Source organism: Homo sapiens, chromosome 4 (genome assembly GCF_000001405.40).
Source record: "Homo sapiens chromosome 4, GRCh38.p14 Primary Assembly".
In the NCBI taxonomy this organism is placed as follows: domain Eukaryota; kingdom Metazoa; phylum Chordata; class Mammalia; order Primates; family Hominidae; genus Homo; species Homo sapiens.
This window is the reverse complement of record NC_000004.12, coordinates 186,652,541-186,679,998: the sequence shown is the minus strand read 5'-3', so window position 1 is coordinate 186,679,998 and position 27,458 is coordinate 186,652,541. Positions and strand designations below refer to the sequence as shown.

Sequence of the window (27,458 nt, the reverse complement as noted above, 5' to 3'; positions counted from 1 at the left end):
CAGTAAACAGGTTAGTTTACTGGGCCTGTGAATTATGGTTGATTGAGAATTTATAAAATTATGAAGTAGTTCTTTAGATGGCACGTTATAAAAAATTCTTGAGTTTCAGATTTTAACAAATAGCCTGCTACAGCAAACCAACCAATGTAGTAAAATAAGTGGGAAAAAATATACGATTGCTTCACCACCTCTTTCATAAATTGCTGAATGAAAAGGCAATCTCAATCCAAGAGTTTAGCACAAAGTCATTTTTCAAAAATCATCTTCTAAACTGTAGACTTGATAACATGCTTTTCCTTTTGAACCCATATATCTGATACTGTCATGAGCTGGAAATATTTGAGCTTTAGGAATGGCAACAGTGTTGTAAGTACTATGCTATGTTTTTTTTTTTCCCATGTTGAATTTGTATTTAGGTTTTGGAAAAAGCAGACAGTTTTCTAAATAAGATGTGAGATACTTCCTGCTTATGGATAGAAAACAAACTCAGTTTCCTGAATTAGACTCTCAGAACATGCTTCTGACACCAGATGTGTGGGGTTCCCCCAACCCCCATTTTTTTTTTTTTTTTTTTTTTTTTTTGAGACAGAGTCTCACTCTGTCACCCAGGCTGGAGTGCAGTGGTGCGATCTCAGCTCACTGCAAGCTCCGCCTCCCAGGTTCACGCCATTCTCCTGCCTCAGCCTCCCGAGTAGCTGGGACTACAGGCTCCCGCCACCACGCCCGGGTAATTTTTTTGTATTTTTAGTGTTATTTGTTTAGTGTTAGTGTTTTTTTGTATTTTTAGTGTTTTTGTATTTCTGTGTTTGCCAGGATGGTCTCGATCTCCTGACCTCGTGATCCACCCGCCTCGGCCTCCCATAGTGCTGGGATTACAGGCGTGAGCCACCGTGCCCAGCCCAGCCTAAATATTTTTTTAAACAAAAGGTACTTTTACTGTTCCAATCACTGAAGAAATTACAGGGCACATGTAATTCCTTTTTGTGACTGCCCAGTATTCCATCGAGTATGTGTACCACATTTTCTTTATCTAGTCTATCACTGATGGGCATTTGAATTGGTTCCATGTCTTTGCTATTGTAAATAGTGCTGCAGTAAACATATATGTGCATGTGTCTTTATAGTAGAATAATTAATATTCCTTTGGGTATATACCAAGTAATGGGATTGCTGGGTCAAATTGTATTTCTGGTTCTAGATCCTTAAGGAATCGCCACACTGTCTTTCCCAATGGTTGAACTAATTTACATTCCCTTCAACAGTGTAAAAGCGTTCCTGTTTCTCCGCAGCCTTGCCATTCCCCTGTAATTTCTTATATGCAGGCCTATGTATATATATTTATGTATGTAATATGTATATAAAAGTAATAATATATTAATAACATATATAATACATAATATCAATAATATACAATAATTGATATTAATGACAATATATGTAATATATTTACATAGCTATACATGTATAAAATAAAGTGATAATAGAATATATTTGTCTATAATGACATTGTATAATGTTCTATTACATTAATTTACAATAATAAATATTTATTTATTATTATATTATAATAAATTAATACAGTAGGCCAGGCTGGCCTCCACCTCCTGGGCTCAAGGATCCTACTAGATTGGCCTTACAAAGTGCTGGGATTACCAGCATGAGCCACTGCGCCTAGCTATTTATTTATATTTTTATCTTCTCCGATACGTATATTTTAGTAACCACCCTGCTACTTAATTACAACTAGTGTGTTATAATGAACACTTGTGTGTTTTTGAATTTGTTTTTTCTAGTGGTTAGTTTGAATATATGCTTTTCAAATACCATCAACTGCTTGATATCCCTGTGATGTTTATTTTCATATTCTACATCTTCTGTTATCACTTTATTTTATTAATGGTTAGTATTAAAGAAGAAAATGTCACTTTAAAATGAAATGTTTATTATTACTTTGTTAAAGAACAGCTCTCTTAATGAACAACTTTGCTCTCAGAGAAAGTTAAGGACAGAGATAATATAAGAACTACTGCAGTTATTCTCTATTTTTCATTTTTTCTTGTTTCAGTTCTGTGCTTTAATTTTTAGTAATGTAGATACATGACAGTTATTTGAGACTTGCCAATCTATTCTTATATAGTCTTTTAATGTCTCCAGCAAGATTTGTCTTCATAGTCTCTAAAGTGATGAATTAGCAGTAATCCGTTTTCCTCCTGTTTTAATTCTCTTTCAAAGTACTTTATGAGATTTGTTTCCTGTTTGCATAAAATAGTGCATATTAAATACTTCATTTGTCTGCCCCACAGTTACCACTAAGAAATCTTGGTTAAGATTGTTCAGTTTCTGAGCATATACTGGGTATTGTAGGAGGTTTGTTGAGTTTTGATTGCTTACCTCTCAATTTTAGAATCCTGATACATACAGGTGTGCCCTCTTTTGTGATTTCAAAACATATATAAAATTAGAAATCTTCCGTTATATGATACACCGTTCTTCATTAAAAAAAAAAACCCTGAATTTAGAAAACGGGAGTTATGGGATTAATATGCATTTACAAATTGATGTTTTGCCTTAACGAAGATTCTTAGCCAGGTTTAACATCAAATCTTGCAGTGCATTTAGATTATTAGATAGGGCTGTTTGATTTAATATGAAGCGTTAGCATAAAAGGACATATCTGAAGTTTCTCCTAGGTTATCAGTGTCCGTGAATCACTTCCTGATTAGGTTAGCTTGACCTAACTTAAGCTTCTGAGTTCTTACAGGTATTGGTTTTGGCAACAAATTGGGTATTAGAAGTAGCTGAACACTGCTTGTAAGTAGTTCGTCTTCAGTTTGCAATTTTTAAAGTTTAAAGATTTGAATTAAAATTTAAGAACTGCTTTGTAATTGAAATAAAATTTAATAGAAAAAGAAGTTTCTAAAAATTTGATAAAAGTGGAGGCTGGAGTAAAGGAAAATGCTACTTGGGAATGGATGGGCAGGGGGGCAGCTTATACATACAGTCCATGACCACAGGGACCAAAAAGTCAATGGGACTTTTATTTGCTTCAGTCAGCATTCAGTTCATGTAAAACACACCTTCCTTTTTGTAGAACTGAATTGCATATGATTCTTAGGGTTTATTTTGAGAGCAATAGTTGCGGTTTTCTGTATTTATAATCTGTTTACAGGTGCCTAAACAAACCTTAGAAACAGGAAAACTGGCCCTTCCACCAGCTGTGTGCATTCTAGGACTCCAGAGACAACTGTCTCTTTGGAGAGAGTTCTGTTTATACAGAGACCAATGTAGTGCTTGACTGTAACAGGAGGAATCTCATTCCATTCCTTCTTTAGCAAGGGAGTGCTTTAAGGAGTTTGGCATGAGGCTTAGTCATTTCAACTGACATTTTAATCATTGAATAGTGCCTTGTCTTCTTGCTGGAACACACTTTGCAGTACAAGAGCTTTAGGCAGTTGTTATTCAGCCTATGAAAACCTGTAAGTCACTCTTAACTTTTAAAGGTTGCTTTTACATTTCTGAAATTCCTTAAGTTCTCCTTATATGCTTCAGATTAACCCTTTATACACGTTGGTTTAAAAAATATTTTTATATAATACATGTATATTTCTTCTAGAAACATTAGAAAATATTAACAGGAAGAAGATAAAATTAACTCATCCGTATAACTCGCCATTTTTCTTGCATATCCTCTTCTCCCTGTTTTTTTTTGTTTTTTTTTTTCACAAAATGAATTGACATTTATTTTTTTAAAATCACTTTATTACATGTTGCATTATAAAATTCAAGCAGGAACTCATAACTGAAGAAAGGATTTGTTTGGTCTTTGTGTAAAAGATACTTATACAATAAATGGAAAATAATTATTAAAGTACCTAGTTGTTAAAATGCTGTTTCCCTTCTCAAACAGGTGCCCTTCTTTTCCTCTCTCTCTGCTGGTCCAAGGAATAAGTTACTCTTTTATTTAACTGTCTTCTCATAGGACCTCATTTTGCTCTTCTTTTTGTTTCTTTTGCACCTTGTAGCATACCTGGCATGTGGTAGGAACTCATTCTGTGTTGAATGAATTAAAACAGGTGTAAATCAATAAAGCCAGGTTCCAGATTAAGATCCAAGCCAGTACAAACAACATTAAGTCCCTTGTTGAAAAATAAGGTACAGCTTTTAAAAATTAATTGTGTGTGTGTGTGTGTGTGTGTGTGTGTGTGTGTGTGTGTGTTTTAGACAGGGTCGTGTGTATGTGTGGGTGTGTGTGTGTTTTAGACAGGGTCTCACTCTGTCACCTGGGCTGGAATGCAGTGGTGTGGTCATGGTTCACTGCAGCCTCTGTGATCCTCCCACCTCAGCCTGGAGCTACAGGTGTGTGCCACCATGCTTGGCAAATTTTTTGTATTTTTAGTAGAGACAGGGTTTTGCCATGTTGCCCAGCCTGGTCTAGAACTCCTGGGCTCAAGTAATCCTCCCACGTCAGCCTCCCAGAGTGCAAAGTGGAGAAATTACAGGCATGAGCCACTACATCTGGCTGGTTTTTCTTTCTTTTTTTCTTTTTATTTATTGCCCAGGATGGAGTGCGGTGGCGCAATCTCAACTCACTGCAACCTCCGCCTCCTGGGTTCAAGCGATTCTCCTGCCTCAGCCTCCTGAGTAACTGGTACTACAGGGCACACCACCATGCTGAGGCTAGTTTTTTTTTTTTCTTAATGAGATTTCTTTCCTAAAGAGGGTTTTTCCTTAAAACGTTTCTGTTGATCTGCCACAAAACTTTTACAGCTGATTTACACTTCAGAGCTCTACATCTGCCACCCACCACTCTAGTTTTTTTATAGTTAATAACAGTATTCAAGACTCAGTTATAATATTCTCGTAGTTAGATTCAGTATTGTTAGTATAATGCCATATACCTACTTACACCTAGTATATTTCAGTTAATTTAGCCTATGCAGGTTTTTTGTTTTTGTTTTTGTTTTTGAGACAAGGTCTCACTCTGTTGCCCAGGCTTGAGTACAGCAGCATGATCTCGGCTCACTGCAACCTTGACCTACCAGGCTCAAGCGATGCCCCTGCCTCAGGCACCCAAGTAGCTGGGACTACAGGTGCCTGCCACCATGCTTGGCTAATTTTTGTATTTTTTGTAAAGACGAGGTTTCGCCATGTTGTCCAGGCTGTACTCGAACTCTTGGGCTCAAGTGATCCACCCACCTCAGCCTTCCAAAGTGTTGGGATTACAGGTGTGAACCACTGTACCTGGCCGCCTTTTAATACATAAAGAAGATATGATAAACACAGTAACTTCCTAAATAGAGAGCAGTGTTGGATTTTTTTTAATATCCTTTTTTCTTTTTTATCCTAAATGGGCCTGGTCACACGGAGTTCTTGAACTCTATACAGGGATCTGTTTGGCCTTCCTTTAGTTGTTATAACTTAAGTTCCATCGCTCCTCCCACCACAGGCAAGTGCTGGTCCACCTTGGTGGATGTGTTGCCTGTTTTTCCACTAACAGTGATTGATTGATGAGAGTCAGACCTGGCTGTTGAATCACAACTCTGCATCTCATGGAGATAGTACCCTCTGGTTTTATGTGTGGACTCTGGAGCCAGTCAGCCAGGTTTGGGGTTCTGGCTTCTCTGCTACCAAAGTTGGATAACTGAGGATGACTTCCTTAACTTTTCAGGCTAAGTTGTTAGATGTAAAGCTCTAAGATGACTAACTGGTAAGGTAATCCATTAATTCATTGGTTACTTTATTACGGAGTAAATAACTTCAGACCAGTGACTTTTGAGCCTTAAGCCTCTGCTTCTGAATATGGAAAATGGGGAGAGACCACTGGGCTAATTGTGAAGATTAAACAATATGGCATATTAAAGCTTTTACTAAGTCTGCATCCAGTCCGTATAAGGGGAGAAGAGTAATCAACACTGAAATTGCGTATCTTCTGAAATTTGAAACAAACTTCCAGAAGCATTGCCATTGGTAGGTAAAATATATTCTCTGTATCTTAATGCTTCTGAAGGCTGTCTTGTGGATGTAGTTTTATCCAATTAACAGGTGTCCAGATGATAAGTTTTGATACCCAAGGGTGATCCTCTTTAACAGTAGAGCTTATCCACAAAAGCCGTCATTGACAATATCAGTGATTCTGACAGGGAAGTCAGAACTTGGAATCATTCCTCAACAAAGCGGGACAACATGGTTTAGCAGAGCTTACCCTGGGAATGACTCTTTGCAGAGCTAAAGAAATCCCTGGGCTTGAAACATGATGCTTAAAATCTGATTATGTACTTAATTAATACTACGTTTTAGTAAGTTTGCAAGTCAGAAAGCTTCCTCAGCTAATTTTGAAGTTATTGCAGCAATTTTAATTAAAAGAATTGATAGGTATATGTTTTAATTAAAATGATTTAAATAGGCAATCTAAATAATGCAAACAGTGACAGTTGTGTTTTTGCTTTTCCTTTTGTCATTGACTTATGATCTCATTCTGGGCAATGTGATTATAGAATTTCCTAGACCTAAAGCTTTGTGTAAGTAGTTACCTACATAAATACTTCAGTGTTAGTTATCGAAGCTGCCAGAATATCCATTGTCATATATCTACTCAAATGAAACAGAAATACTTAAAAATGAAAGTACATCTAAGACATAGACAGAAAAATAAAACAGGGAGGTTCTGTACATAAAACCTTCTGATACTGGGCTGCAGGTATTGTTTTAATTGACTTTTATTGTATACATTTTAAATATAGATTTTTAAATCCATGGTTACAGAAATTTACAGATTAAAAAAGTTTCTGTTCACTGGATGGATTTATCTGCTGATCACCTTGTTTATTTCAGACCTTTTTTCTCTGCACATATAATTGTGTATGTGTGTTTAAAAAATTTTTCTGAACAGCAGTAGCATCATATTTTATATACTTTTATACGTTTATATTTTTCTCTCAATTTCTGTATCACTGACATTCTTCTGTGTAATTAATATGCATGTCTTCTTTTTTGAAGCTGTGTATGTACCATCATATAATAAGTCCATTCCTTTTCCCTCCCGATACAATGAAATTCGCTTTAGCCCAGATTTTCAAATGTTGGGAAAACGGCATCTGGCAGCTACATTTCTGGATTGCATTCAAGTCACAACTTCTCTGGTGAAATTTGCAGGTTGTGTTCAGTTGCCCCTTAATCTTCCCTCCAATTGAAGGACAGGCAGGGACTCCAAACATTTAGCACGATTGTCTGGAACCTGACTTTTAGGGTTGAATCCCAGTTCCCCACTAATGGACTGTGTGACTTCTGGCAGGTTGCTTGTACTGTCTGTTTCCTTTCTGTGAAATAGGATATGATAACGTTACCTACTTCTTAGGGTTGCTGTAAGGAGTAAATGAGCTGATGTATAAGAAGTTCTTCTCTGCTATATCTTGAGTCCATGTATGCTGTTATGTTGCCATCCCTGTCAGTCATCATCAGGCCACTGAGTTTGCTCAAAATACAAATGGCTTCTCACAAAATGGCACTCATGGCACATCACTGGTTTTGAAAGATTGGGTCATGGTGGTCAGTGTCATGGCTTCAGTTAAACTGGAGAGAAAGAAATTATACATGATTTACTGTATTTTTATCTGTAAGGGGGCAGAGAGGCACCTGTACGGTACACTAGTATACTGCCTAGCAGTTTGATTGGCCCACGAGGGATGCTTCTTGGTTGACTTACTTTCTTTTACTTATTTTGACTTTCTTTTATTATCAAAAACATAAAATATTTATAGAAGTGGTCTCTAGCAATTAAAATTTTATTTATTAATATATGTATACACACATAATAGAACATTGTTTTTAAAAGTACTAGAACTTGTTTTTTTCCTTCTTCTGCAAAATAAACCATTAAACATTGGTCTTTACATATTCCTTATGTTTTATGATTAGCAACACCAGTGAAGTAAATAGTAATATCTTATAAACTTCAGGTGAAAGGAAAGTAACAAATGTTGATTTTAGTTCTGAGAGCATTTCCTGTGTCATTCCCTGAGAAAGTAGACTGAATAGCCATTTTAGAATCTTAAATGCCTTCAGCCCAATAGACTCCTCCTTTTTCATTTCTTGTTCTATTTTAGTCCACAGTAGTAAATAACATAAATTTGCCAACTGATGGCAGAAGCAAGAACATTAAATGTATATTTACACACACACACACCACACACACACACGATCTACTGTATTGTTTCTAAAAGAATTCAAAGGTTTCGATTTATGAGATAATACTGCATGTCAAACTAGTATCGTTATTTTTATTTTTATTTTTATTTTTTTTTGAGACGGAGTTTCGCTCTTGTTGCCCAGGCTGCAGTGCAATGACACGTCTTGGCTCACCGCAACCTCCACCTCCTGGGTTCAAGTGATTCTCCTACCTCAGCCTCCCAAGTAGCTGGGATTACAGGCGCCTGCCACCACGCCCAGCTCATTTTTTGTATTTTTAGTAGAGACGGGGTTTCAACATGTTGGGCAGGCTGGTCTTTAACTCCTGACCTCAGGTGATCTGCCAGCCTCGGCCTCCCAAAGTGCTGGGATTACAGGCATGAGCCACCATGCCCGGCCCAGTTATTTTAAAGAAAGGCTAAATTGCAGAAATTTTGCTTTTTATATTAAACTCGTTTTACAGCTTTTCTTTGTATATAATAGGCAAAACAAGTAATATTTTTTTATTATTTTACAGTAAATTATATTTTGAATTAGATTGTTATTTAAATCTTTAGCCTTTAACATGTAAAGTTTCTTATACACACATTAGGCTCTCAAGGTATCATCAAGATGTGGAAATATTAACATCAGTCTAAATCTAGTATTTAATGAAAACGAGATTAAAAACAGGTAAGTTCAAAAAAGTTTTTAATTGAAGGAAGGAAACAATCTACATATTATGAGCTCTCATAGACAACTTTTTAAAAAAATAAAACATTTGCAGAAAAATGGAGCAGAAAGTAGAATGCTCACATAACTCCCTGCTCCCTGCCCCAGCTTCTCACGTTGTTGACATCTTACATGAGTATGTAAGATGTTACAATTAAAGAATCAGTATTGGTACATTGTTACTAACTGAAGTCCATAATAGATGCAGATTTTCTGAGTTCTTACCTAAGGTGCCTTCTGTGGTCCAAGCTCCCACATGACATTTAGTTACGTCTCTCTGGTCTCCTCTTGCCTGCGACTGTTTCTCCTCCTTTGCTTGTCTGTAATGGATATCATTTTTTATAAGCACTCACTATTGACCCGGCCTTGAACCAAACACGTAACAATTCTTTGTCCTTAAAAAGTTTGCATTCTAATAGGAAGCTTACAATCTACTTTTAAAATTTAATTTTAAGGAAGAATTGATGTTTTTAGTGATTAACATTTAATATGACAATTCTGAGATGTTTAGTCTTTGCATAATTAGCAGGAAAAATTGAATAACCGTTTATAGATTAATTGCAGCAACAGAGATATTGGCTCTCTAGTGTGTTGATGGTATGTCTCTTCTTTTTCCGTGAGTATTGTTTTCATATTTGGGAAAATGCTTATTTTCAAAAGAGTTACCCTGTTTACGCTGAGGGTATTGAATTGGAGAAAAGAGTTTCTGTCTGTTGTTGCCTGTAGGGAAAATATCGTTAAAATTATATCTCACATTTAAGTTTTTCTTGTGATTGAACAAAGCAGCTTTTAATACAATTGCTGCCTTAAGCAGTTGTATGAAAAGTTTAAAACATTAAGTATGTGACATATCAGAAAGGAGGGTAGCGTTTGCAAATTTGTGTTGCTGGGTTGTTGCTGATGATAGGTATTTCTGAGAGTCAGAAGTAACGAGGCTTTGTTGAAAGCCTTGGCATTAAGGCTTGATTGGGGGCCAAGACCTGTTAAAATAGGAAAATTCTAGGAGGAAAGGTGTTCTGTGGCCATGGGAATTTGAATCAGTTAAATTATTTTTGGCAAACATCATAGCTATAACTTTATTTTTGCCTTAAAGATTACTGTGTTGCAAGAGTCCTGTTCCACCTGTGTCAGCGGGAGGGAATGCTGGCCTTTCCTGATCAAGGACTATTCCTTAACAGCAGCAGGGGCCAGCAGTGGCGGGGAGTAGGAGTTATTATTGGAAACTGTGATTTACTTTTGAACCGTTTATTGGAGCAACCCTATAACCTTTGAATAATCAGGCTGTGGAAAGACAACGTCAGTATCCGTTTAGTTAAGTAAGTGGACATTAATGAATCCTTCCATACAGAAATTTTGCTGTGAGCTCTATTTTCAACTATCTTGGTTAAGCTCTTTTAGAAATTACATTTTTCCCCCTTCAGTCTCGTTCTCCACTGGATGCATATTTAAAGTGAGTTTCCATAGTGACATCTGGTGGTGGTTTTGAAATCCTGGAGAGTATGTTTGGAATGATAAATATTCTTACTTAATAACTCCAAATTTCCGGCTTCTTTCGGATTTTTCAGGTTATTAACAACTTCACTGTATTCTCGAGGTTGGAAAGCTAGGCTTTCATTCCTTCCGTAATGCTTCATTCAGGTAAAGCCGTGATTTCTGATGGCACTGCTGAGTGGCACACGTAACAAGCGTGTCTCAACCTGTCTCCTGTGCTCCAAATCTGCGTCATAGCATCACGCAGCAGCATCACGACCGCTCTCACTGCGTGTGCACGGCAACCTCCTGACGGGAGTGGCGACAGAGTTTCCCTGTCACCCCTCTCACGGCTCTGTTGCTCCCGGCATCTGGCTGGAGGGAATCCTGCGGAAGGCCTGGGCTGCAGCCCTCCCTCCTCACAGCCTGGGCGCAGGCACCTTCTGGCCGCATGCTGTGTTTGCTTTCAGAAAGGTAGAAGGAGGGGAGCGCAGAGGGGAGGAGATGCCGAAGACAGGAGGGAGACCGCAGAGAAGAGTTTGGGGGTGGATATACATAGGTGCCCAAAAAGGTGAGGTCGTGAATATGTGTAAATAGAAAGATACCTGTAAAAACTATAGTTTTTGTTGGTTCCTTTTGTCTCCAGGGTGAGTTTATAACCCACTATATAAAAAAGTACTTATTGAAAGTTGATAGGTAGACATTCATGGATAAAGAGAAATAGACAGGGATAGAGGTTTGAGAGTGACCACAGTTTGATTCACATCCAGTGATGACTGGATGTCTTTAGTTTTATTTTTGTTTTTCTCTGTGTTAAAGGCACTAATTAGAAGTCTTCCCAATGGAAATGTGAAAATTTGTTTCTCTCTATGGAATTGAGGTAACTGCTAAAGTTACAGAAGAAATCAATCTGTAATCTGTAAATGCCAGTCGTGGCTTTAGGAAGGACTGGTGAAAGCATGATGAAGTGTAGGAACAAGAACTGCTAATGACTTAATGAGTAAAGGCAGCTTCGGTCATACTTGGAGACAGCTGGTGTGTCACTCCCTGCAGAAACCAGGACTCCCTTAAAGAATGGTTTGGATCGTGATGAACCCCTGATTAAGGAAGTCCTTCACTCTGGATTCTGAACTACACCTGTTTAGCTTCTTGGAGTTGGACAAATCATTTCAACGTTCTTTAAGAACAAGGGAGTTGCACTGGAGGGTTTTGAAGGCGTTCCCAGTCTAATGCTTGATTTTGAGATGGCGAAGGCTAGCTCTACCCCTGGTCTTTCTTTGCACATTATCTAGACTCTCACTCAGCCATCCTGGACCTTCGTCTTGCCTCTGATTCAAGATGGGAAGCTTCGGGGTTTTGACCTAGAGATCTCGGGCTAGTGCCATAGGTCCACTTTGGAAGTTTCTGCCCAGGGTTCTTGAGGAGTGTATCATGCAACTGGGCTGACAGATTAAAAAGCGGAAAACAAAATAACTTGGCACGCTTAAGGCTTCCTTCCACCCACTTTGTGCAGTGCCTATAATAGCGCCTAGGTACTGAACCCCAAAACTCTGAGCGGAATCCTCAGATCGTCTCCCGTCTGTTGTCCTGCATGCATGAGGAAGACCCTTCCTTCCACACTGGGAAACTCCTTGTGGCCTTTCCTCATGGTTATAGCCCCACCAGGTCCCCAGCACCTTTGGTGTCCGACAGTGTTGCTGTTGATTGATAGTGGCAACAGCCCACCGCTCAGTGGAGAAGACCCTGAGGCCTGGAGTCAGACTGTCCGGCTCAGCTCCGGATCCCACCAGTTAGCTGTTGACCCTGGCCTTGTTTCCTCATCACTCCAGGGCTTAAGCAAGTTTCTTAATGGATCTAAGCTTCTCTTTCCTCATGTGTAAAGCTGGGATGAAAATCATGCAACTTCCATGTTCTTTCAATGATTTAATGCACATAAAGCATCTAGTGACGTGATTGGTGGACATGAGGGATCTGAGGATTTTGGTTAGAAGATAAGATTCTTCGGTGTGCCCTCCTCTCCCTTTGGCAGTTGAAATTTACTTTATAGTTCTCCGTAAGTTGTATTCAGTGATTTTTTATCTTACAAAGAGGTAATAATTAAAATGCATCGAAGCAGAAGCTTATCTCAGCAATCACGATAGGCATTATAAAAGTACACAGTCATGAATTCATGAAATAGGAACATCCAGCATCTCACTCATTCATACTTACTATTTTAATTGCGAATTACACAATCTCCGATATTTGAATAGAGTCGCTTTGTTGCCTCAGTCTTAACCTTTAGTAATATCCGTAGATTACCGGGGAGGCCGACAATCCCCTCCTGATGGACATGACTGTCCCCCACCCCCTGGTTGTACAGCTGATGGGTCGGTGGGGACCAGCAGATGCCATCTCAGAATTGCACACTGCAGTCTGGACGCTTACGGCCCGAACTAGAAATAAGGCACGACGGAAAAATCATAGCTGTTTCTATCTGTAATTGCAAACCTCAGATGTGAGGGTGATATACTTCCATTTCATAATTCTTTTTTCCCTTGAGATTAGAGAAAGCTATTGTGTATGAGTGAACATTTAATACATTCCTGCTGAATACTGACATGTAGAACAGGTGGATGAAATAGGAAGTTTGACTCATCTTTCCCAAATTACCACATTAAGTTTTGTTTACTCTTTTGTCATAACAGCCGTAGGACTGACAAGGATATTGCTGGCGCTGAAGATGAGATTTGTGGTATTCACACTCCAGCTCTGCCATTCACTGTGGCCCTGGGAAAGTGCCTCATTTCTCTCAATCTGAGTTTTTCGTTAGTGAAATGGAGTTAATAGCATCACATATCTAGGCAGGTTGGATGTAAAGATTATATAAGATAATGCATGTAAGACACTTATCACAGGGCCTGGCATTTAGTAAACACTGAGCAAATTGTTTCTGTAATTATCACTGTTTGTAAATGCCTCTAGTCACATTTAGAGGGGCACATTTTAAAACAGTAGATGGAAGCATGAATTGTTGGAGGATTAGAACTCAAAAGAGGTAGATAAAAGCACCACGTACCTGTCTTCTTGAGATTTTCTAATAATACTTCACCTGTCAAGTGAATTTTATTGCATTTTAATGAAGTAGCAGCACACAGGAGGAGTTGTGTACATTTTGTTAATGTGTAATCCTCCCGGAGAGAACATTCTGTTATCCCCTGACGTCTTTGTATCTGTGGATAGATGTGATGAATCAGAGGAACTGGGAAAGGTTATTATTTGAGCCTACAGACAGATATAATTTTGCTAATTTAGCAGACCAGTTGAGTGTGTGTGCATTATGCTTGGGTTAGAGAACAGGGAAGCATGTTTGAGTTCATCTTCAGTTGTCTGCTGTACGGAGGAACCAGTTAGCTCATTTTTATTTGGTTCTGAGGTTTATTTTATTTTATTTCATTTTTTTTTTTTTACTATCCTTTAAGTTCTAGGGTACATGTGCACAATGTGCAGGTTTGTTACATATGTATACATGTGCCATGTTGGTGTGCTTTACCCATTAACTCATCATTTACATTAGGTATATCTCCTAATGCTATCCCTCCCCCCTCCCCCCACCCCACGACAGGCCCCGGTGTGTGATGTTCCCCACCCTGTGTCCATGTGTTCTCATTGTTCAATTCCCACCTGTGAGTGAGAACATGCAGTATTTGGTTTTTTGTCCTTGCGATAGTTTGCTGAGAACGATGGTTTCCAGCTTCATCCATGTCTCTACAAAGGACATGAACTCATCCTTTTTTATGGCTGCCTAGTATTCCATGGTGTGTAGGTGCCACATTTTCTTAATCCGGTCTATCACTGATGGACATTTGGGTTGGTTCCAAGTCTTTGCTATTGTGAATAGTGCCGCAATAAACCAAAAGCAATGGCAACAAAAGCCAAAATTGACAAATGGGATCTAATTAAACTAAAGAGCTTCTGCACAGCAAAAGAAACTACCATCAGAGTGAAGAGGCAACCTACAGAATGGGAGAAAATTTTTGCCATCTACTCATCTGACCAAGGGCTAATATCCAGAATCTACAAAGAACTCAAACAAATTTACAAGAAAAAAACAACCCCATCAAAAAGTGGCTGAAGGATATGAACAGACACTTCTCAAAAGAAGACATTTATGCAGCCAACAGACACATGAAAAAATGCTCATCATCACTGGCCATCAGAGAAATGCAAATCAAAACCACAATGAGATACCATCTCACACCAGTTAGAATGGTGATCATTAAAAAGTCAGGAAACAACAGGTGCTGGAGAGGATGTGGAGAAATAGGAACACTTTAACACTGTTGGTGGGACTGTAAACTAGTTCAACCATTGTGGAAGACAGTGTGGCGATTCCTCAGGGATCTAGAACTAGAAATACCATTTGGTTCTGAGGTTTCTTCCATGTTTCTAGAAGCAGTATTATACCCCCTTTCTGAAGGTTCAGTATGAAATAATGAAGCAATAACAAATCATTGTAATGCTTCTGAATGGCAATAAAGATTCATTTTATGATAATTTCACATTTTATTTAGCTAAGTTTTCTATTTTCAAGTTGTGAGTCCTTTTGGGAGTATTAGATATAATTATCATTCATTCAAAAAATGAGTTTTTCTGATATTAACCTCGAATAAGTTAATATTTAATTTCGTGTGATCAAAATTACGAATTGCAACAGTGTATTTTTCTCAACCAAATGTTTCATTGCTGAGCATAGGTAAAATTGGTAATTGGTTATTTTTCTCACAGTAGTTTGCGTTTAACGGGAAACTTCAGTGATTCTAGAGCTTCAGCATTTCCAGAGTCCAGCCTGTACCATGGTGTAGAAGAACACTGAAAGTATCTTTAGTCCCGAGTGATCAATCCATGAGAAAAAGTGCAGTGATATGTTTTTGGTAGACAAAGGGCGAGATTGCACCATTGAATAAAAAGGTGGGACTTGCCAAAGAGAAATGGATATTTCTACTTCTTATCCCCAGAGGAGGTAAATCCTGGCTTGAAGTTAAGTTTTGACTGGTTTCAGTGGCTGGACCAAAACATTACAGATACTCTAACCCTCTTCTTTGTAATCATATAATTTCATCTCTTGCTAGTTGACTTACTAAGAAATGTATCCTAGTTTGGGTCCCAGTTGAGGACTTTTCTATACCAACCCTGATTAAGATACTTAGATATTTCACTTGTGTATTTAATACGTTATTGTGCTTTGTGTAAGGTGCTGCGGATACTGGTATTTAAGAATGATGTGGCCTCTGCCCTTTTGGAGTTTATAGTGTAGTTTATATTTTTATAGCATGCTGGTTGTCTTCCCATTTGTTTGAGGCGATTGAAAGAAATAAAAGGACCTCAACACTCAGGAGATCTGAGCAGCCCCTTATTGTGGACTTTGAAGGTTGCAGTTTCTTTCCTTAGCCACTGTGAGAAGGGGTGTGTGTGCAGACCGAGCTTTCTGGAGGATGCTGCTCCTGCCTTTTTCCTTAGACAGTGGCCGCCACAGGGATGCAGTGTGGGGAGCGGGGGTGCTGGACTGTGGGGTCTCAGATCTGGGCCATGGCTCTGGTGTTGTCCCTGTCTTCCTGAGTAGCCTCCAGGAAAGTCAGCACGTCTCTCAACCAACTATAAACTTTACCTATGGAAAAATGAAGTGTTGGGCCATTAGATGATCTCTTAGTGCTCACCTATTTTGAGACTTCAGTGAGATAATATTTTTAAAGTGCTCCATTTAGTGCCTGACACCTGATTCTAATAACAAATACTTTTATAGCCTATATTATGTGCCAAGTGTTCTAATCATTATATGCATGTTAGTTGAATATACTATTATTGTCTCTATTTTAGAAGAAAGGAAGCTGAGTCACAGAAAGGCTGGTTAACCTGCTCAAGGTTATGCACCTAGTAAGAGACATATAAAGCTCTCAGTAAGCCGTAGTTGTTGACACTTTCTGAAGCTGGCAGTTTTGGTCGTTGATGTGCTGCTTTACGCTTTTCTTTTTTCTCTGTAGGTGTCATAGAGACGTCAGATCGACTGGACCGTGAATCGACCTCCCATTATTGGCTAACAGTCTTTGCAACCGATCAGGGTGTCGTGCCTCTTTCATCGTTCATAGAGATCTACATAGAGGTTGAGGATGTCAATGACAATGCACCACAGACATCAGAGCCTGTTTATTACCCAGAAATCATGGAAAATTCTCCTAAAGATGTATCTGTGGTCCAGATCGAGGCATTTGATCCAGATTCGAGCTCTAATGACAAGCTCATGTACAAAATTACAAGTGGAAATCCACAAGGATTCTTTTCAATACATCCTAAAACAGGTATGTGTTAATACTGCTATAGGAAATGTTTATGCTTATGCTTTTCTGTTAGGGGGAAAAGTAAGAATTAGCATTTATCTGTTACATACTTTTGTTTCTTGATAAATTGTTTTCCTTTTGAATTATTCAAAATAAGCCTTTATTTTGGATAAAAATTTAGCATAACCGGGCACAGTGGCTCACGCCTGTAATCCCAGCACTTTGGGAGGCCGAGGCAGGCAGATCACGAGGTCAGGAGATCGAGACCATCCTGGCTAACATGGTGAAACCCCATCTCTAGTAAAAGTACAAAAAATTAGCTGGGCGTGGTGGCGGGCGCCTGTAGTCCCAGCTACTCCAGAGGCTGAGGCAGGAGAATGGCGTGAACCCGGGGGGCGGAGCTTGCAGTGAGCCGAGATGGTGCCACTGCACTCCAGCCTGGGCGACAGAGTGAGACTCCATCTCAAAAAAAAAAAAATTAGCTTAAATGTGCTTTTTAAACTTTGAGTTTGCTTTTATAAAGCTATTTTACGATTATGCTCATTAGTAGGGTTTCACTTTCAGGTTAAAAAGCAAACATTGTTATTTCAGTAATAGCTCCTAAATTAGTGATATATCTTAAACTTACAGCAAATTCTACTGCTGCTAAGAATTTGAATTGTCCTAAGTCGGCTTTTTGTAAAGAGTATTAAAAGAGTTTATTTCACAGTTGGCTAGTTTTTTAATGTTTTAAGTGTTTCCTATAGAGCAGTGCTGTATCTGCAGGTGGTAAGGGATTGGGATTGAACAGTTTTCAGATTGGAAGTGGTTACTTTCCTGAAGTGACACCCCAGGCCTTTTGCTTCTAATATTTTTTTCCATCGATGTCTGTGACTGACTTCCCTGCTTCCAAGAAGATAGCTCCATGACCTCAAAATCCTCCTCCGAAATTTTTATAAACTTCTAATCTTTGTTCCTTTACTGCACAAGTGGTGACTGCGTTCACCCTCCTTGTGAAATAAAGCAAAAGTGAGCTAAGAACTAAGTACTGAAAAATTAAAGGCATTGTCAAACATAAGAGAAAAGTCAGAGGTATATAAGAATTGTGAGGATGAATTTGGAGTCCAGAATGTATGTATGCCTCTCTAGTGGCGGTCCCAGACCTCCAGAGAGAGAAATCTAGAAGTAAAAGCCTTGATTGACACAATGTGAGTGTGAACAAAAACCCTCAAAGAGATGTTTTCCTACCCTCTTCCCAAACCTCAACAATCATCATCACAGAAGACTTCTGGGACCAAGTGTGTGTTTGGGGGGCTGGCCGGGGGGCGGGGGGGAGGATTTCCTACACACCAAGCAGCGGACACCTTGGGAGTCCTCTCATTCAATTCTGACATTTTTTTACCTGGAGACAGCCTCAGATTCTGCAGGTTAAGGGCTCAGTTCCCAAGAGTGTTCACTTCTTCCCACCAGTTGCAAGCCGAGGCCTCTGAAACTCCTGACGGACCAGCTCCAAGCGAGGGTTCCCATAACCTCTCTTCAAGCCCAGGCCTCCGAAACTCCTGACCCACCAGCTCCAAGTGACGGTTCCCATGACCTCTCTTTGGGTTCTGTTACTTTATTGGAGCGGCTCACAGAACCCAGGGAAACACTTAACATTTACCTGTTTATTACAGAGGATATTTTAAAGGATGCAAATAAACAGCCAGATGAAGAGATACACAGGGGCAAAGTCTGCAAGGGTCCCACGCACAGGCATTTCTGTCCCGGTAGAGTCAGGGTGTACCACCCTCCCGGCACCTGGATGAGTTCTTGTTCACCTTCCCGTAGCCTCCACGTGTTCAGCGGTGAGAAACTCTGAACTCTGCTTTCTTGGGCCTTTTATGGAGACTTCATTGCCTAGGCATGATTGACGCACGGACAGCCATGTCAACATGTGGTTGACAAAGGCCTGTCTCTTGAGATTGTTCTTGGCCTCTGTCTGCAGCGTTTCCGCCTCCAGGATATGGAGCGGGACCCTCTCTGGAATGAGGGGCTTATGACACACAGTCAGATTGGAGTCCTGCCTTGGCAGGTGAAAGGAGAGTGGCAGGTGGCCCGGAGAGAGATTCTGTTTCCTGAGGCAAAAAGTGCCACAACATTATAACCAAAGACTAACAGGGGTTCTGGGAGTTAACGAGCCAGGAACCATGGACAGAAACAAATATGTACCCCTCCCCACAACACACGTATATGTCATATCTCAGGTGGCAATTCAAGACCAGAACTACCCCTATAGTAATTTGTTTGATGAATTAGACTAAGCAGTGTTTTCAATTTTCTTGTGTCTTCTGTCTCTCTTTTAGATTAGAGTAAGTCCTCTGTGAAGAGATAGATGAGCAAGCAAGAAATATCCTTTGGGATATCTGAGCACATGGCATAGGTCTGGGCATAATATATGTTTGAGGAGTAGGAGGAGAAAGAAACTGAGGAGATTATATAGCTTAGCATTGCTGTGGGGAGCCTTGAAAACCCTTGGTTCTTCCTGGGACCCCAGAAATGATGATGTGTCTGCTATGGTGTTATGTCTTGTTGTAGAAACATGATTAATATGGCATTGCCTCTCCCTTTTAAATCTCTCTATTCTGACAACTCTAAAGAAAAGGTGTTTGCAGAGATGTCTGTGCTGTTGTCTTCAGAAGGAATAAACCCTCTCCAGGTGTCCACAGCCACACCCCAGCCCCGGCGGGAGCACAGGCACTCCGCTGGCAGGGCGGCAGGAGGAAATTCAGTGCAATGCACACAGAGGCTTTCTTTCCTTATGAGTTGAAGTCAGGTAATAGTGGAGGATACCATAGTTAGTACACAGCAGTATTTGTTGTGAAGTATGTTAAAAACTCTGTGGTTAGTAAAGAAGTCTCAACATTCCACAGATCACCTAAAGTCTCTGAAGATGAAGAACAGTATTTTAGCATGGAATTATTAAATAATATAGTAAATATAGCTTCATTAGATCTGTTTCTAGATGCTTCTCTTCCCCCACCTCAGCAGAAAGTTGGGGTGTGATCCTCAGGGCCTGAAGTACACATGCCTCGTCTTCTTACAACCTTTAAAGCAGACTGTTCCCAGGTAGGTCAGTATCATGGCGGCCTGATTGTGAAGGCTGATGAAAGTCCGTCCGGTAGGAAATAGTGCTTGGGAGTCACTGACCCATCTCGCCACCTGGAGACCCTAAATCGTGTTACTTAATGATTAACGGCTGAGCAAGGAAATCACTGGGCTGGAAATCCAGAGATCCGGACCATAGTGAGGCCTTCCCTCTGGGATCTTGGGGCGAACTGACTTCCAGGTCCTTCGATTTTGTGATTCATGGTGTTTCTGTCCCCTGTTGAGGCTCGTGTGTGTAGAGTGCAGGAGCGCCCAGCGTCGTTCAGGGGACAGGTGCCACAGCCGGCTTGTGTGTGTAGAGTGCAGGAGCACCCAGGGTCGTTCAGGGGACAGGTGCCACAGCCGGCTTGTGTGTGTAGAGTGCAGGAGCACCCAGGGTCGTTCAGGGGACAGGTGCCACAGCCGGATTGTGTGTGTAAAGTGCAGGAGCACCCAGGGTTGTTCAGGGGACAGGTGCCACAGCCGGCTTGTGTGTGTAGAGTGCAGGAGCGCCCAGCGTCGTTCAGGGGACAGGTGCCACAGCCGGCTTGTGTGTGTAGAGTGCAGGAGCGCCCAGGGTTGTTCAGGGGACAAGTGCCACAGCGGGCTTGTGTGTGTAGAGTGCAGGAGCGCCCAGCGTCGTTCAGGGGACAGGTGCCACAGCCGCTTCCTCTTGCGGGTGTTACGGTTGCTCTGTTAATGAATGTCAGACAATCAAGAATCTAGTAGACTGATAAACTTGTGCCTTTGGATAAACACATTTGCTAGAATAAAGTGGGCCCACTTGTTTCTTAGAAACATGAATTTGGGACCCTGGTGATTATCCTAAACGTCCAGCAGCTAGAGAATACCTACAGTTATCATCATTTAAAGCATTTGTTTATGCATCAAGTACAGTCATGGGAGGCTGAATGCCAGGGATGCATTTTGAGAAACGTGTCATCAGGCGATTTTGTCGTTGTGTGGACAACGTAGAGTGTACTTACCCAAACCTAGATGGTCTAGCCTACTACACACCCAGGCTGTATGGGATGGTCTATTCTAGTCTATAGACCTGTATGCCGTGATCCTGTACCGAACACTGCAGGCAGTTGTAACACATTTGTGTATCCAAACATAGCTAAATGTAGAAAAGGTGCAGTAAAAATGTGGTATTAATCTTTCACAACCACGGTCGTATGTGCGGTTCGATCGTATATGCAGCCCGTGGTTAACTGACACGTCGTTATGCAGTGCGTGGCCGTGTTTATTTACCGAACTATGAAATTTTTTTACCAAATCTTTGAAAGTTCGTCATCTACAAAAGTGAAATAACCAAGAAGAACAGATGTGTGCAGCAGTGTGGCACAGGCTCTCACGGGTCCGGTGGAGGCGTGGCAGGGGCCCTCACGGGTCCGGTGGAAGTGGGAAACTGGCAGTGGTTATGTTGGGAAGATGAGCCCCTTGGAACGGGTACTGGGCTGATTGTGAAGATGGTAACAATAGATTGATGGAGAGGAGGTAGGAGATGTTTTCATGTCGGCGACAATTTGAAGGAATGGTGAGTTGGAGACCAAGAAATAAGTGTATGGGAGACGGCTACCCTCAGTGGAAAACCTCGAATGCCAGAATAAGGGTTAAAGAGAATATTTGTTATTTTTATTAATAAAAGTGACCTCTTTTTGAGTCAGTATAAACTGCCTTGCAACATTTTGGATAAACTTAAATAAAAGTCTTTTTGGAAAAGAGGGAGACATCTCCTCAATATCTTTTTCTCCTTCCCCTTTTGTCATAGTGTAACAAAATATTTTAAAAGTCACAACAAGAAAGCTTTCTAGGAGTGGGTTTAGTGAGTGAGCTTATGAATTTTGTGTTCTAAACCACAAGTTTGAGTGAACTTTTTTGAATGTTTTTTCTCTTCAAGGTTTTTGTGCTTAATTATGGTGCCAAGAACTGTCTGTCTGCATTTCAGACATTCTTATTATATTGTTTGCAAGTAGGGGGGCAGTGGGTTTTCATTTTTAGGAGATACAAGTGAAAGACCGCATCCATTCTCTTTTTGTGATATATGCACTTTTGTTGACATTGCTAATTTTTATAACATTTTTTGTTTGACTGTGTCCATCATCAGTTACAGGGTAAATGTGCTTCTTTTAACTTAAGTTGAGCACTTGCTCAAGGTGGAAGAGAGACAGGAGCATAGAACTCAGATTGGAGCCTTGGCAGCTGCAGCGCCTGCAAACAAAAGCATCACAGCTTTGTGGTGTGTCAAGGACAGAGAAGAAAGGGAGTCCCAAACAAAAGAGACTAGTGTGAGCTTCTCATGACTCATTATTCACGAACAACCTCGGGAAATCGACACCACCCTTGCAAAGAGTCTTTTTAGTTAAAGTTATTGCTTTGAACTTGGGGGAGTTGATATGCAACTTACAATTGGCATTTATTAATAATTTTGAAGTGTTACTTTTAGACATGTGTGTCCTTTAGAAGAGACCATGGTCTTGCTCTCTTATCTGTATGTTTGATATTTTTCACGTTTTTGCTACAAACCAAGTATTGATCTTTATTTTTAAAAAGCTTTTTTGAGGTGTAATTCACTTACAGCAAATTGCACATATTTAAAGTCTACAATTTGATAAGCTTTCACATAGCTTTTACACCTGAGAAAACATCACCACTATCAGGCAGTGACCACACCCATCATTCCCAAAGGTCTCCTCACACTTCTCTGTATTCCCCCTCCCAACCCTCCCACCTCCATCTCTAGTCAAATGCTGGTGTGCTTTCTAGCACTAAATAATAGTTTGCATTTCCTGGAATTTTATCTTGGTGAACTCACATGGCATATACTCTTTTTGGTAAGGCTTCTTATACTTCGCATGTTTATTTTGAGACTCATGCATGTTTTGGCGTGTATCAAGACTACGTTTCTTTTCATTGCTGTGTATCCTTTATATAGATAGATTAATATTATAATTTGTTTATCCACTCACCTAGTAATAGGCATTTGTATTGCTGCCAGTTTTTGGCAGTTTGTAAATCCGCTGTGAACATTGAGTACAAGCCTTTCTGTGGACACATACTTCCATTTCTCTTGGACATCACATAGGGGTGCATAGCTGTCTGGAAACTGTCTCAAGGCAGAAAGCTGCTGCGATCGTGGGTGTCCCCTCATCTGTTTCTCTCAGGGATCCTTGTCTTTCTTTGCCTGATGTCTAGTGTCCTTTCAACTGCCAGTGCATTCATTTTGTCTGCTTCTTGGTGGTTTTATGTTAAAGCATAAATCTGATCCCTTACTAGAAGTGGAAGGTCAGCTATTGCTTTTAAATCAGAAAAAGATGCCTTTTTAAGTTTAGAAGTGCCATCAATATGTATGTACTGTAAACACCTCCTTTAATAAACAGTGAATCTTCTTAACCAGGGTTTCTGTGTCTTGGAGTAAAAACTGAATTTCTAGGTTTATTTTAAATCGAAACTTAGCAATATCCTGGTTATGTTTCTGGAGTTTGTGGAAATACAGATATGTATGCACTTTTTGTCCCTCCCAAATTGTGCTGTTGTGTTGTACCCAGTAGCCGGAATGGCACTTCTCAGTCCTCCTTCCCCAGGTACCATTCATCATCAGTTTACCCTGCTCAGCAAGGCCGGAAGGCAGATGTGTGTTTGTGACGTGTGTTTGTGATGTATGTGTATGTGTGGGTAGCACACCTCATAAATTCTATCACTTGTTTTAAATGGGTAATGCAATCACATGGCACAACGTGCAAATAGTACAGGAAGATACCCAGTCAGGTTTTACTTTCACCCAGTTCTCCAGACACTCCGTTCCCTTCCTTAGTATATTAACTCTCTTTTCTTATTTTCTGTATCCTGAATGCTGTGGCATCTGGGCCCTCATTGAGTGGGGAAGGACTGCCCCTTCCAGGACTCGGGATAGCAGATGACTGGTGCAGGACCGTGCTTTTCATATGCAAGCTGACCAGTCCAGAGTCCCACTCCACACCACCATCTGTGTCACGCCCAAGTCATATCAGAGCCAGTGCTAGACAACTGGGGACAGCTATGCCCCAGAGCCTTTGAAATTACTTAAACCAGCCAGTCCTGAGCGTCTCACCTTGCCTTTCTGTGAGATCCTCAGTCAAGCTTTCCCGGTTCCTTCCACCTCCAGACCAACCCTGGCATGGTCCCGTATGGCCCAGCACGGCCTTCGGCCTTTGCCACCTTCAGTGGCGGTGGTATGGCCTCCTCTTGGGGAAGTACCAAACTGCCTTTGCAGGTACTTTCAGGTACTGGCGGTCGTACCTGATCTGTTGCCTCACCATACCTGAATAATAAAATCTACTTAGAGGCAACTAGTGTTTGCATTTTCTTTCACTTGTATATAAGCAAGAAAGAATATGTTGGTTTTTTCCTCATCTTTTTATACAGATAGCATACTGTATACATGGATATGCATCTTGGGTTTTTCCATAACAGTATTGGATGCTGTGCTTTTAAGAGCACCTTGGCTGGGTGTGGTGGCTCGTGCCTGTAATCCCAGCACTTCGGGAGGCTGAGGCTTGTGGATCACTTGAGGTCAGGAGTTCGAGACCAGCTTGGCCAACATGGCAAAACCCCATGTCTGCTAAAAACAAAAATTAGCTGGGTGTGGTGGTGCACACCTGTAATCCCAGCTACTTGGGAGGCTGAGGCATGAGAATAGCTTGAACCCAGGAGGCAGAGGTTGCAGCGAGCCGAGATCACTCCACTGCACTCCAACCTAGGCAACAGTGAGATTGCATCTCAAAAAAAAAAAAAATCACCTTATTGTGGTTACTGATGAACTTGCCACATTATTATAGGAATATATGTGCATATCCATGTACCTTTCACTGTCCATTTCACTGGTCTACTGATTTTATCTAACCAATGTTTACTTTTTACCTCTTCTCATTCATCTTCCTCTTTGAGAACAAATACAGTAAGAAAGAAATTTATTTATGACTAAAAATAAATTTATCAGAAAAGTTTAGTAGTTAATGGTACAGGGCATCCTCTTTGACTATATATGTATGTTTGTGATTTCTGTGTGTCTATATTTGCATCTTAAAAGGTTTTAGGCTCTTTGACAGCTGCTACCTGTATTTCTGTCTTCCTGAGATTTTAAATACATAATGCAATCACATAGTACACAATTCAATATGTATATACCATAAAAACCTCATTTGATAAATAGTGAATCTTCTTAATGGAGGTTTTGTGTTTTGAGTTTGTTTCAGCTTAATGTTTCTTAGGTTTTCCTTCCTCCATCCTGTAGAGTGAAGTTTTTTTTGTTTTTTTTTTTGTTTTTCGAGACAGTGTATCACTCTGTCGTCCAGGCTGGAGTGCAGAGATGCCATCTTGGCTCACTGCAGCCTCAAACTCCTCTGCCCAAGTTCTTCCTTCCTCGGTCTCCTGAATAGCTGGGATCACAGACCTGCACCACCACGACCAGCTAGTTTTTATATTTTTTGTAGAGGCAGGGGTCTCACCGTGTTGCTCAGGCTGGTCTCCAACTTCTGATCTCAAACAATCCTCCCATCTTGGCCTCCCAAAGTGGGATTTTTATAGGCATGAGCCACTGCGCCCAACCTGTAGAGTAAAAATTTCATGTATTTTGGAGAGTGATCCTTACTCAAAATCCCATCTCATTATTGTGGAGCACATTGCACTGTTAGAATCTTGCTGGTCCTGCTGGTCCATCAGCTGTCTCATGCCTGTTCCCTTGGAGAGCTGAGCTTGAAGGAGATAGCCCAAGGGAAACCAGCAAAGCCTAATTTTCCTTGTTTTGCCCCTTTCTGTCTCATTCTCTGAAGTCTTTTTTTATACCACTCTTCCACCCGTCTACTGTGTCTTGCCATCACTTTTGGATAGGGCTGGAACAGAACTTTCGTTAGGAGTCAGAGGAACATTGACAAGTGTGTCTCATCTATTACGAGCAGCTTCCACAGACTTCATCTTTACAAGAGCCCTGTGAGATGGTGACTACAGATACCAATAGCCTGCTGTGCTCCTTATTTACATTTTCTTCATTTTACAAATAATCTAAGACTTCACAGAGGTCAGAGCTACCAGAGGTCAGGCAATGTGAATTTCCTGGCTGCCGCTTCTCAGTGCATGGTGCCACTCCCAGTCCCTGTGCCTTTGCATTTGGGTGTAAATGTGGTTGTGGAGCCAGTTTTTCTGTCTCTTATCTACTCTTTGCATTGAGGGACTCTGTTTCATATAATAGTTGCTTTTCAGGCTAATCTTATTCCTATGGTGCCATCAGACCAAAAATGGGAAACTTTTAAGTAACACTAGATTTTTAAACTTAGTTTTATGAAGCATGTACCGCAGGGGTCATCAAACTGTTTCTATAAAGGGCCACACGGGGCTTTTGGGTTTGTGGGCCATACAGTCTCTGTCACACCACTCAGCCGTGTCACTGTAGCCCAGAAGCTGCTGTAGATGATACGGAAATGAGTGAGCACCGCTGTGTTCCAGTAAAACTTTGTAAATAAACGAAATAAATTCAATAAAATTTGAATTTTCTGCCCTTTTCATGTATCACAAAAGTTTTTTTCAACCATTTAAAAATGCAAAAGCCATTCTTCACTAGCCAGCCACACAAAAACAAGCTACTGTGCTTTCCTGACTCCTGATGAGTGGACGTATTTACTGGTGGGACTAGTTAAACAATTTCGTTGATTGCTGATTTTTAAAATTATTTTGAAGGGATAGACTTTTATATTTCTGAAGTAAAAATTGAATCCCTCCCGTTGCTCTAAGCAAGAGTGCTTAGAAAGGATGTTTGTATTTCACTTCTCTTGGTTGTTAATAACAAAATTATTCTTTAAATAGAGCAATTAGAGTATCAGTATCAAGGTTGAGATCTCAGATACGATTTTGCAAGTTGGTTAGTAGACTGTTAGATCTCTTCTACATTGGGAAGTAATTGTTTCTCATTAGAAGATAAATTTTCCTAGATTTTGAGGTTTTCCTACTTTTTCTGTGTTGATGTGTCCTGTTAAGTTTTCAGAGCTCCCAATTTCAGCTCAAACAGTTGGCTCTAAGTATACTTAGCAGGTCTTTATCATCTCCCCCATTTTGTTTATTCTCTTATTCTGTGTCGACATGTTATACTCAAATTACTCAGTTTCCATTTCATATGCTTTTTAGAGGACGGCGTTATACAGTGTTCTGTTTTTTATTCGCTTCTTTACATGTAAAATCCTGTATTTAGTATAGAATTATTTTATGTTTACTATAGGAAATGTGATTTGTGATTGCAGACTGGGCAGCGATGTATAGTTTATGTGTGGTAATCCCTAAAGCACGCAGTAAAGTTACAAAATGGTAGAATAGCTGGTAGGTATACTGGGTGCTCATCATGTGTTAGTCCAGTAACACTTTACAACTATTTTTTTCTGAACCAGAGTAAATGGCATTTTATTGTGGCTGGAACGAATACTGAACAAACTGCAATAGGAAATAGCTAAAGCTGCAAACAACTTCCAGGGGTTTCCGGTAACATTTGATAGCTGCAAAGGAAGGAAAGGACGGGCCAGTCGCATTTCAATGGCAGGAATTCATTTAAAAAAAAATTACCTATTTGCAGTCTTTTTACCAAGATACGCAGATATTTTAAGGAGGAATCTGTAGATTTTTTTCCTATCTCTTTCTCATGCTCATTATTAT

At 40.3% G+C, this 27,458-nt stretch overlaps 1 protein-coding gene across 4 annotated transcripts in view; it reads left to right on the top strand.

The window, feature by feature from the left end:
* Positions 1 to 27,458, top strand: part of FAT1 (FAT atypical cadherin 1) — a 138,903-nt gene that overhangs the window by 46,698 nt on the left and 64,747 nt on the right. For all 4 annotated transcript variants that reach the window (NM_001440455.1, NM_001440456.1, NM_005245.4 and 1 more), the window contains exon 3: positions 16,386 to 16,700. In NM_001440455.1, the coding sequence (NP_001427384.1) occupies positions 16,386 to 16,700 (315 nt within the window). The remainder of the gene's footprint in view (positions 1 to 16,385; positions 16,701 to 27,458) is intronic.